This window comes from Homo sapiens, chromosome 14, assembly GCF_000001405.40.
Source record: "Homo sapiens chromosome 14, GRCh38.p14 Primary Assembly".
NCBI lineage: Eukaryota > Metazoa > Chordata > Mammalia > Primates > Hominidae > Homo > Homo sapiens.
Window position 1 is genome coordinate 72,070,529 of NC_000014.9, and position 12,714 is coordinate 72,083,242.

General features: G+C 36.5%; 1 protein-coding gene across 51 annotated transcripts in view, besides 1 other annotated feature; it reads left to right on the forward strand.

The window, feature by feature from the left end:
• RGS6 (regulator of G protein signaling 6) overlaps positions 1 to 12,714 on the forward strand; it is a 762,695-nt gene that overhangs the window by 203,194 nt on the left and 546,787 nt on the right. The gene's annotated exons all lie outside the window — the stretch shown is intronic.
• Positions 5,300 to 5,840: an enhancer, noted in NCBI's record as "OCT4-NANOG hESC enhancer chr14:72542545-72543085 (GRCh37/hg19 assembly coordinates)". NCBI's record gives its function as "activates a minimal SCP1, AML or CMV promoter by ChIP-STARR-seq in naive H9 embryonic stem cells {active_cell/tissue: H9 hESC(naive)}" and the evidence as "EXISTENCE:reporter gene assay evidence [ECO:0000049][PMID:30033119]".

Below are 12,714 nucleotides of genomic sequence, written 5' to 3' on the forward strand. Positions count from 1 at the left end.
TCCTGGTGTTGGTGGTGGTGCTGCTGGAGATGAGATCCTTTTAGCCATCCTATCTTTGGCAGGCCCTGGGCTTTGTTTCACCCTGAACTCTGAACCCTGAATCCTGTGGGCAGGGCTTCTGCTAGCCCATGTGGCTCCACTCTAAATTGATGCAGGCACTCAGCTTGTTAAAGGGAGCACTGGATGGATTTCAGCAAGCTTCCTGTTCCTTATGGTTCTGTCTGGTAGGCCTTAAACCTAGGCTCAAGTACTCTGGAGTTAAACAAGTGGCCCAAGGCAAAAGCCAGCTTCAGTGCTTAACTTACTTCGCAGGGATTGTATGTATGTATGCATGTGTATGAATATATGTTATGTATACATATGTATGTTTTGTGCGTGTGTATTTCACCGTTGAGTGTTAATTACTCCCTTGTTACAACTCATTGATGCATTTAAATAAAACATTTAAAATATTTTATTCATCTCCTCTCATGGTTTTCAGCAAAAATGTAGGTCAGGGTAAATTACCAGATATATTGGACCAGCTGGATGTAGTCGCCTTTGATTTTTTTTTAGTTCTACCACCTATGTATGTATCAATAAACAATGTATTCTTTAGTGCTTCCTTATTTTTAAACATTATGTGAATTGAATAACTTATGTAATCTTTTGCAATTTGGTTTCCCGCAACATTTCTATATGGAGTATGGTTCGTTCATATTTACTTTATACCAATATATGAATTTCTTTAGCTATTCAACACAATTTAACTATTCAGATTCCACTGTTGATGGACTTTTGGATTCTTTCCAATTTTTGCTATTGGAGTTTTCCAGTTTTGCTGCTAAGAACACTCTCGTACATGTCTTCTGGTGCATTGTCCAGGATTTTCTCTAGAATATATTCCTGGGGGTAGAATTGATGATTCATTGAGTAAGCATGTGTTGTACCTTACTAGGTAATTACAAATGGCTTTCCAAAGTAGTTGTAACAAATTATGCTTCCATTAGCGGTACACAAGAGTTTCTGTGGCTCCATGTCCTTACCAATTCTTAGTATTGTCAGGTTTCTTAATTCTTGCCTATTAGGTGGGTGGACTTAATACTTCTTAGTTTAGTTGTTATAACTTGTTTTTTAAAATTAACATATCTATGTGCATATTCGTAGTCATACATGTTTGTCTGGTCATTTAGGTACTTATGCAATACTCTAGTAGACTCAGAATAGAAATTAGCCATGGCAACATATATATTACATTCTTCATATTGCTACATTTGAAAATAATCATAATTATTTGCAGAAATATGAACAGAACATATAGAATTAAATGTTTTCACGATGTCTTGTATTATCTTTCATGTTTCATAGCAATCTCTGTGTTATAGGCCACATCAACTGCTTTTGCATTGTTCTGACTTACAGGAATTGCAGATTTATTGTTCTCAGTGCCATATTTAAGTTCCTTCTCTGTAACAATCAGGTGTAATACTTGTAAATTTTTTTAACCTTAGTACAAATTTAAAAAGCAGAAATTTCTCTTGCAGCTTCCTGTGTTTCAGGCCCAGTGCTAAGCACATGGCAAGCATTGTCCCATTTAGTTCTCTCCACCATGCTTCGGGCAGGTGCTGTTGTTAAGCCCCTTTCATGGAGGAGTGAACTAAAGCATGGAGAGGTTAAGGGTCTTGATCAAGGTCCCACAATCTTATTCTCAATGGACCTTCTCCTTCTCTAATCTAAAACCCTCATTTTATTTTGGGAAGTGGATGTAGGTCTAGGAAGCTTGTTTGTGTGTGTGTAGTTTGTTTGTTTTTTTTTTTTTTGAGATGGAGTCTCGCTCTGTCGCCAGGCTGGAGTGCGGTGGCGCAATCTCGGCTCACTGCAACCTCTGCCTCTTGGGTTCAAGCAATTCTCCTGCCTCAGCCTTCTGAGTGCTGGGACTACAGGTGTGTGCCACCATGCCCGGCTAATTTTTTGTATTTTTAGTACAGACGGGGTATCACCGTGTTAGCCAGGATGGTGTCGATCTCCTGACCTCAGGTGATCCACCTGCCCCGGCCTCCCAAAGTGCTGGGATTACAGGTGTGAGCCACTGTTCTTGGCTGTTTGTGTTTTATATTAGGAGGCAGAGAGCACTTAGGGGAAGCAGAAGCTCTGGTCTGAGGAGGCAGTGGTTTACTTATTAGTTCACAGGCCTTTTAGGTAATCACTGGTCCTTCACTTAATTAAGCAACTTAATATATGTCTTACGGATTAAGTTAATTTTAAATCAATGCTAATTTTTATGTCAAAATATATTAAGCAGCATCACATTAAAGTCAAAGGTAGTCTTGTAATTATTAGAGCAATAGGTATCGTGCTGTCGTTCTCCAATGTGGCTGCACATTGGACAACCTGAGGAGCTTTAAAAAATACTGCTGCCTGGGGATCACTCCCATAAGCTCTGATTTATCTCGTCTGGGGCACCAGGAGTTTTAAAATTTCTCCAGGTGATCTAATGTGTAGCCAAGCTTGAAGATTACTCGATAGTCATTGATTATGTGCGTGCCACATTCAGATTGGTGGGGTTCAAATCCTCCTTCTGCCACTCACTAGATGTGTGGCCTTAGTTAAGTTTTGTTAACGTTTCTTTATGTCTTCATCTGTAAAATGGGGATGAATGATAAAAATACTGTCTGCATCTCAGAGCATTGTTATGAGGATTAAAGGGGTACAGTAAGTCCTTATTTAACGTTGTCTATAGGTTATTGGAAACTGCAACTTTTAAGTGAAACGATGTATAACAAAACCGGTATTACCATAGATTAATTGACATAAATGAGAGTTAAGTTCCTGCAGCATATTTTTGGTCCTAAAAGTATTATCAGACTTCTACATAAAGACCAAAACATTTCTAATATTAAACACTGAGAGAAATCTAGGTTATACATACATTTAAGAAAGATTAATTCAATCATTTACTCAATTATTCGACTCCAGAATAGTGGGTGGTCCGAGCCTGTCCTGGCAGCTCAGGGTGCAAGGTGGGACCAGCCAAGGACAGGACACCATCCCATCACAGGGCACACTCACGCTCATCCACACTCACACTGGGACCACTTAGACATGCCAGTTCACCTAATGGGCACAGCTTTGGGAAGTGGAGAATGTGAAGAAAATCCATGCAGATGTGGTGAGAACATGCAACCTCCACACAGACAATGGCCTTGGCTGGAATAAATTTTTTTTTCTCACAAATTTTATAATGAAACAATGTTACTGTAGGACCTGCTGTATAATATATACATATTAATAAAATGCTTGGAATAGTGACTGGCACAAAATAGTCCTTTACTGTGAGCTATTTTAAGTAGACTAAGAAAAAATTATTACTATTATTGGATATTCTCTCAAAAGTATCTTGGGGGCTAAGATTTTAAATTAAATCAAATTTTGCCTAGTACTAAGCCCACTTTGGTGTTTTCTTGGCTTTGTTTAATTTTTTTCTCCATGGTTTTATTTAAAAGTTATTTCTAATCACCCTGTCAACTTAGCAGATATCTGTTGGAATCATTTAAGGTGTTTGTTTCCAAAAGACTGCAGAAATTAAATCAAGATATTTGCAGAGGAATGACTGACAGCTTGCAGGTAGACTGGAGAAAGTGCTTCCTACCATAACAGACAGAAAAAATGGTAGTACAAGAGTCAGCATTTCTTATTTATTTTTCTATGAGGCAGGGTCTCGCTCTGCCGCTCAGACTGGAATGCAGTGGTGTGATCATAGCGCACTGCAGCCTCAAACTTCTAGACTCAAGGGATCTCCTGCCTCAGCTTCCTGAGTAGCTGGGACTATAGGTGCTTGCCACCATACCTAGCTGATTTTTTGTAGGGGTGGGTAGAGACAGGGTCTAGCTCTGTTGCTCAGGCTGGTCTTGAACTCCTGGCCTCAAGCAATTCTCTTGCCTTGACCTCCCAAAATGTTGGGATTACAGACATGAGCCACCATGCCTGGCCAATTGAGCATTTCTTTAAACTGGAAACTAGCACCTTTATAATAATTTCACACATACCATTATTGTTGAAAATAGTCAGATTTTCAGAGGAAATCTCTATTAACCTAAGTTGTATAACCTTTTGAGGTTGTACCAGTGTAGAGCCTGTTTTTCCGAGCATCTACATGCTCAATGCTATTTTTTCAGTTATCCAGCATCCCCCCACTTGTTTCTATCCTATCTCATATGCAAGAGGGTGTAAATGTTTTTGTGCATTGCTTTTACATTTTTATTTATCTCTCAAGTGGGCAAGTAAGACAGTCATCAACAGAGGTTGCATTTGGAGATCATATTCTGTTTTTTCTTTAAACTATTTGATCATTTCAGAGAAACTTTATTCTCAGTTCTGTTTTGTCTTCAGCTGTCAATATCCCTGACTCCAGGCCCTTTATTTAGCTTCCATTCTTACTGATGTGGAAACATACTTTTAAATGAACTGCCTTTAAAAAGAAATATTTTAGTAAAGTGAAGGATCTTTTTGTAATGCAAATAATGTTTTGTTCAGGATTTTCTTGAGAAATCTGCCATGTTCTCTAAGCCTTTGCCTCCATACTGGATGTGGCTTTGCCTTTTTTGTTGTGTTGAAGGGCATGCACAGATATAGTTTCTGATTATTTTTCTCAGTCTGATTTCTCCAATTAGGCATATTATCATTAGAAAACTCGCCCATTTTCCCATGGTGTTTAAAAGTAAACCAGGACTTGTGACACTATGCTACTCGGCATTTATGAAATGTAATTTAATTACTTTGTTTCCATTGTGAAGACTCGGTTTCCTTATTTCCTATATTCATTTATTTATTCATTATTGGTATACCCAACAAGATAAGTAAATACGATACAGCCTTGCATTTGACAATTTTATGGTGTGTATGTATTTATCATGCCTGAACTGTGACTAGACTTAAGATGAAGATGGTACCTAAATCAAGCTCTTTTATATTTTGTCTTTCCCATAATCTAGTCTGTCTTTTCTTTCCCACAAAATAGAATGGGATACTTTTTATTATAAATATATGACATGTTCACTATAAAAGAGAGGCAGTAAAGGACCAGAGAAAATGACCTGTGATGCCACCACCTAGAAGTAATCACTCTTGTTAACATCTTGTTATTTACTTGTACAGTTTTTTTCTGTGTTCATAGGCTGACATTTTTCCTTGCAGATGTTCTCTCTCTATATTCATACAAAGCTGCAGTTGTTCAAGTCCCACCCCAGCCTCTGGAGGTCCAGGATGAATGCCTCCCTCTTTCTGTCCTGGTACCTTACGTGACCTCCGGACGGCAGTGTCAGTGTTGGAAATGGCAGGCTGCTGCAAATATGCTAAAACCTCATCAGTTGTCTCTATTCGTCTGACCAAAGTCCGTGGGAAGAGCAAGATGCTGGTGATATCCTGGAGCTCTTCTGACACAAGGCTCTGGCTAGCCTTGATACATTCCTCAAATTCTTCCTTCCAATTCTGAAACCTTTTGTTTTCCAGACAATAAAACCCTCCCAAACTCCTACCTAGACATTCTCTCTAAGCAGTCCTGGGAGACCACATGTGACTTGACTTTTAACTATCTTTACAGCGTTTACATTTTGCTCCTTCTTTTTGTCATGCCATTACTAGAGGGAGGATGGGCCATCCAGAGCAGCGTGCGCCCTCCACAGGCACCTTAGCCTGTTCTTCACTCCGCCATGATTGAAAGAGGAGAAAATATTCTATAGCTGTTCCTTTTCTGTTCTTGGCTTTTTCACTCTTACTGACCTTACAAGTTTTATTTTTCCATTTCTGAATCTCAATTATTTTCATTTCTCCTATTCAGTATAGTTTTTAATAGATAGCATTGCATTACATGGATGTCCCTTATTTAATCAACTGTTTGGTATTTCTTTTCTGTTTTTCAAAATCTAATGAACACTCCAGTGAATATCCTTTTGTTCGGGATTTATCTCTAGAAGGAAGATTACTGGCTAAAAATATATGTACATTTAACATTCATATACATATCTATACACACTTTTTTTTGAGACAGCGTTTCACTCTGTCACCCAGACTGAAATGCAGTGGCATGATCATTGTTCACTGCAGCCTCTACCTCCTGGGCTCAAGCAATCCTCCCACCTAAACCTCCTGAGTAGCTGGGACTATAGACACGTGCCATCATGCCAGCTGAGTTTAAAATCTCGTTTTGTAGAGACATGGTCTTACTATGTTGCCCAGGCTGGTTTCAGACTCCTTGGGCTCAAGTAATCCTCCCACCTCAGCCTCCCAAAGTATTGGGATTATAGGTGTGAACCACTGGGCCTGGCCTATGTATACATAATTAGGCTATACTGTCTATAAAATTTGGCTATCTATAGTCAAATTATTTTATATGCATATATCCAAATATACCTATAAATAGCCAAATTATACATATACAGCCAAATTTTATATATATATATATATAAATGTTATATATATATAGCCAAATTATATAAAGCTGTATATATAGTCACATTATCCTACAGGAAATGATGTAAATGTACCAATTTACATTCCTGTAACAGGGCATTAGAATTCCCTTTTTCCAGAGCCTTGCCAACACTGGTTATTTATAACCCTTTCAAACTTTGTATGAAAGTTGTATGTATTTTAAGATAAATGAAAACTTATATTGATTTGTAATTATTTATTGGTATAATTGAACACCTTTCCATATCTTTATTGTACTAATGTGTATGAATTCCATCTTAATAGTTTTGCTAACTTGTCCATTGAGGGGTTTCCTACTGATTTGTAATGGCTCTCTATATAAAAAGGATGTTAATTTTTGCCTATTTTACAGTAATAGTACAAATATTCTCTCATGTTTTCTATTAGTCTTTTAACCTTTGTTTAGTTTTTTTTCGTTCCTTCATAAATGCTAAATTTTATGTCATCATATCTTTCAGTCCTTTTCTATATTATTTCTGGCTTTGATGGCATGCATTGAAAGCCCTTTTCCACCCCAGAGTTATCAACTCGTTGGAAAATGATGTTGAAATGTCACTTTTAATATTTACTAAACACTCTTGCCTAATTTGTTCTATTTTGAAGCCCTTTAATTCTGTTTCTTTAATCTGCCTGTCTTTTTTTTGTGCCTGTTCCTTACTGTCTTGACTACTGCAGGCAACATACTTACATCTAAAGAACAAGCACACCTATTCTGCCCTTTTGCTAAACAAATTTTCAGCCTCTTTTTCAATGATTATTTTTTCAAATCAATGTTAAACATCACGTAAAGTTTCAAGAAAACCCCTAGGGGTATTAGTATTTAGAGTGCATTAAATTTTTAGCTAATTCATGGGAGAATTTGAAGTATTATATCTTCTAATTTAAGTTAGAGTACAGGAATTGTCTGTCTTTATCCCTCTAAGTACATTCAGATTCTCAAGAATAGTACCAAAATTCTCAGATCCCCCTCTACCAGTATTTTTCTCCCACTGATGGCTCTTCAACCCTAAAATGTCTTAGTGGTATGGTTTGGATCTCTGTCCCCACCAAATCTCATGTCCGATCGTGGTCCCCACTGCTGGCAGTAGGGCCTGGTGGGAGGTGATTAGATCATGGGGAGGCTTCTTATGAATGGCTTAGCACCCTCCACTTTGTGCTGTTCTTATGATAGTGAGTTCTCATGGGATCTGGTTGTTAAAAAGTGTGTGGCACCTCCCCAAACCCCTTGCTCTTGCACCGGCCATGTAAGGTGAGGATGCTTCCCCTTTGTCTTTTGCCATAATTCTAAGTTTCCTGAGGCCTCTCCAGAAGCAGAAGCCACCATACTTCCTGTACAGCCTGCAGAACCATGAGTCAATTAAATCTTCCTTTATAAATTACCCAGTCTCAGGTATTTCTTTTCTTTTATTCTTTTCTTTCTTTCTTTTTTTTTTAAGAGATGGAGTCTTGCTCTGTCGTCCAGGCTAGAGTGCAGTGGCGCCATCTCAGCTCACTGCAACCTCCGCCTCCCAGGTTCAAGTGATTCTCCCGCCTCAGCTTCCCAAGTAGCTGGGATTACAGGCGCCCGTCACCACGCCTAGCTAATTTTTGTATTTTTTTAGTAGAGACGGGGTTTCACTATACGTTAGCCAGGCTGGTCTCGAATTCCTGACCTCAGGTGATCCACCTGCCTTGGCCTCCCAAAGTGCTGGGATTACAGGCGTGAGCCACTGCGCCCGGCCAGGTATTTCTTTATAGCAGTGTGAGAATAGCCTAATACACCTAGCCTGATGTTACACTTAGGATCCTCTTCATTATTCTTCTGAATCCAAGCCTCCAACTTTATCTACCCATCACGGTTTTAGCTTATATTTTGATTTTATTTCTTACATCTTCCCTTATATTTATTATTTTAATATTTTGTTTCTCTTTTCTCCTTCTATACTTGTACTAGATTTATCAGAATCTGTAAATCTCTTTTAACCCTATTAATTTGTTAACTCAGTTAAATATATCTATTTTGCCAATGCTCATCTTCCTATTTTTAACAGTCATATATCAAACTGTATTTCTCAACTGATGTACCAAAATTAAAGGACACCTAGATGCCCTCCCTCAGCTAAAGTGTTTACTACTGCATCCAAACCCATGAATTCTCCCTAACTGAGAGAGGATATTTAGAGGGCCTTTGTGCCTTTTTTTTTTCCCCCTATTTCTTCCTTGAAAATTCTGGAGCTTTTTGAAATAATTTAGAATTTTACTTTTAAGATATTATTAAATTTTTTTCTACAGCATGCCTCTGTTTAAAGAATCAAAGCTTTTTAAACATATCACTAGTCACATATATTATCTGTGTAGACTTAGCTATATTATCATATATTTATTTTTATAAAGATATTGCTCAGCACTATTCTTTTACAGTTTTATTTATCTTAACTGACAAATGAAAATTGTATATATTTATGTATACAACATGATGCTTTGATATATGTAGGCATTGTGCACTGGCTAAGGTAAGCTAATTAACACATGCCTCACCTCACAGACTTATCATTTTTTTGTGAGAACACCTAGTGAGAACACCTAGAAGTCACCCACCCAGCAACTTTCAAATACATTGTTATTAACTGTAGTCACCATGGTGTATAACGGATCTTTTAACTCATTCTTCATACCTCACTGAAATTTTTTGTCCTTTACCCAACATCTCCTCAGTCCCCTTACCTCCTCTAGACTCTGGTAACCACTGTTTGAACTCTGTTCCTATGAGTTCAACTTTTTTTATTCTACATGAGTGAGATCATGTGATATTTATCTTTCTATGCCTGGTTCCTTTTTCACTTAACATTAATGTCCTCCAGGTTGACCATGTTGTCATAAATGACAGATATCCTTCTTTTTTAAGGCTGAGTAGTATTCTGTTGTATACACATACCACATTTCCTTTACCCATTTGTTTGTTTTTGAACACTTAGGTGGATCCCATACTTTGATTATTGTGACTAATGCTACAATGAACACGGGAGTGCAGGCAACTCTTCAGCACACTGATTTCAATTCCTTTGGGTATATACTCAGGGATTGGATTGCTGTATCATATGGTGGTTCTGTTTCTCATTTTTTGAAGGACCTTCAGACCATTTCCATAATAGCTGTACTAATGTGCATTTACATGAGCAGTGTACAAAGATTCCCTTTTCTCTATATCCTAGCCACACATTATCTTTCGTCTTTTTGATAACAGCCATTCGAACAGGTGTGAAGTGATATCTCATTGTGGTCTTAATTTGCATTTTCCTGATTAGTGTTGTTATTTTTTTTTCATATACCTGTTGGCCATTCATATGTCTTCTTTTGAGAAATGTCTATTGAGGTCCTTTGCCCATTTTAAAAATTGTTATTTACTTTCTTGCTATTAAGTTGTTCGCATTCCTTATACATTTTGGGTATTAATCCCTATCAGATTATGATTTGCAAATATATTCTCCCATTCTATAGATTGTCTACTTTGTTGTTTCCTTTGCTGTGCAGAAGCTTTTTAGTTTGATGTAATCCCACTTATCTATTTTTTGCTTTTGTTGCCTGTGCTTTTAGAACCTGATCAAAAAATTATTGCCCAGACTAGTGTCTTGGAGCTTTTCCCCTGTGTTTTCTTCTAGTAATTTTACAGTTTCGAATCTTAGGTTTAAGTCTTTAATCCACTTTGAGTTAGTTCTTGTATATGGTATGAGATGAGGGTCCAATTCATTTTTCTGTATGTGGATATCCAGTTTTCCCAACACCATTTATTTAAGAGACAGTCTTTTCCCCATGTGTGTTCTTGGTACCTTTGTAAAAAAATCTATTGACCATTGACTATGTGGATTTATTTCTGGGCTTTCTACCTTGTTCCATTGGCCTAAGTGTCTGTTTTTATGGCAGTACCATGCATTTTGATTACTGTAGCTTTGTAGTAGTTTTTGAAATCAGGTAGTGTGATGTCTCCACCTTTGTTCTTTTTGCTCAAGATTGCTTGGCTCTTTGGGGTCTTTTGTGGTTCCATATGAATTTTAGGATTGCTTTTTCTATTTCTGTGAAAATATCATTGGAATTTTGATAAAGACTTTGAATCTGTAGATTGCTTTAGGTAGTATGGACATTTTACCAATGTTAATTATTCCAGTCCATGAGTACAGGATATCTTTCCATACATGTGTGTCTTCAAGTTCATTCATCACTGTCATATAGTTTTCAGTGTACAGATTTTTCAATTCCTGGTTAAATTTACCCCTAAGTACTTTATTTATTTATTTTTTTGCTATTGCGAATGGGATTGTTTTATTAATTTCTTTTTCAGATAGTTTGTTGTATGTGGAAATGCTGCATCAGCACTAATTCTTACATATTTTATCTTCTTGAGATCTTTTCTGTTTACTTTTTATTTGATTGAGATGCTTTCTTAGATACCAGTATTGGTATACTTTCTTGAGTTTGTTTCTAAATTATCTTTTCCTCCTCAAATATGTATTTCTGCTGTTCTGGTCTTGGATTGCAGTTCTCTTTATTCAGATGTGTGTGAACACTGTTCTATTGTTATCTGTGGTCAAGCATTGCAGACGAGAAGTCTGATGGTAGACTAATTATTTTCCCTTTTTAACTTACTTCTCTTGTCTGAATGGAAGGCTGTAGAATTTTTCTCTTTGTCTTTGAAGAAATTTCTCTAGAATATGTCCAGATGTCTTTTTTATTTAGCCTGACTAGAATGTCTGAGCCTTTTTATGCTAAAAATGCAAGTCTATCTTCAACTCAGCAAAAACTTCAAACTGAAAACCGAAGTTTTAAAACCAGTGAAGCTTTCTTCCACTTTTAAATATTATTACCACACCTACTTCTTCTCGTAATTTTTTACTTTTTTTTTCCTAAAAAATGTAGAAAGTACAGAAAATAATGCGGAAAGTTCTCATTTAGCCCAAGCAGAGAGTTAAAAAGATAATCTTTTGTCATATTTGTTTTAGATCTTTTTTTAACAGTATGGTTATATTTTAAAATGCCTAGAAGACTGGAGTTAAAGTCATTCAGTTATTTCTTAATAGTACTTAGAGAGTTGCTCATGAATTGGAGGATAATGAAATATGAGACATGCCAGAGCAGGAGAAGGAAATTCTAGGGGCTATTTGGGGTCTTTTGTGGTTCCATATGAATTTTAGGATTTAAAAAAAAATTTCTGTGAAGCATGTCATTGGTATTGTGATAAAGATTAATTGCATCTTTAGATCCCTTTGGGTAGTATGGACATTTTGACAATATTCTTCTAATTTGTGAATATGGGATATCTTTTCATTTCTTGTATCTTCAATTAATTTCATCCATGTTTTATAGTTTTCATTGTAGAGTTCTTTTACCTCTTTGGTTATATTCATTCTTAGGTATTTTTTATTTGTAGCTATTGAAAAAAGATTGCTTTCTTGATTTCTTTTTCAGGTAATTCATTACTGGTGTATAGAAACACCTCTGAGTTTTGTATGTTGATTTTGTATCCTGCAACTTTACTGAATTTGTTTATTAAACTATTAGATGATAGTTTAATGATAAATGTTTAAGGTGGCAGATATACTAATTACCCTAATTTGATAATTACACAATTTATAAAAGTATTGAATCATCATGTTGTACCCCATACATATATATAGTTAGTTATTATATGTCAATTATAAATAAAAAATTATATACTACGTTGGTTTTCAAAATTAAAGTAATAATTAAAATTCGCAAATGATGGGAAAAAAACCGGAAGTTCTTGGGGGAAATAAGCATATTTCACAGTGTCATGGAAATTGAGTCCTGAATGTCAATATTGTTTCATAAATACTTGTAACATACAATGCAATAGGGATACTACATCAGGATGCTTTTGGCTCCAAGTTACAAAAAACCCCAACTCAAATTGGCTTAAAGAGGGAAGACATTTGCTCATCTCACACAAAAGGCTACTCAGCTTTGCCTCAATCCAAGCCATCATGTAATCACATGGTGGGTATAGAAATTTGAGGTGTACTTACACCTGTGTACATACCTCTAGATGTACCAGTGTCCTCAAGAATAAGAAATGCCATTTGCCTTTTGTGTTTCTTATTTAGAAGTGAGAAAGTCTTTTCCAGAATCTCCCTAGAAAACTTGCCTATAAGGTCTCAGCCACAATTCACTCATACGCTCATTCTTGTACCAACTGGTGGAAAGAAAGAATAGAATTCACGGGAATTCTATTGAATCTGACACAGATTGATCTGA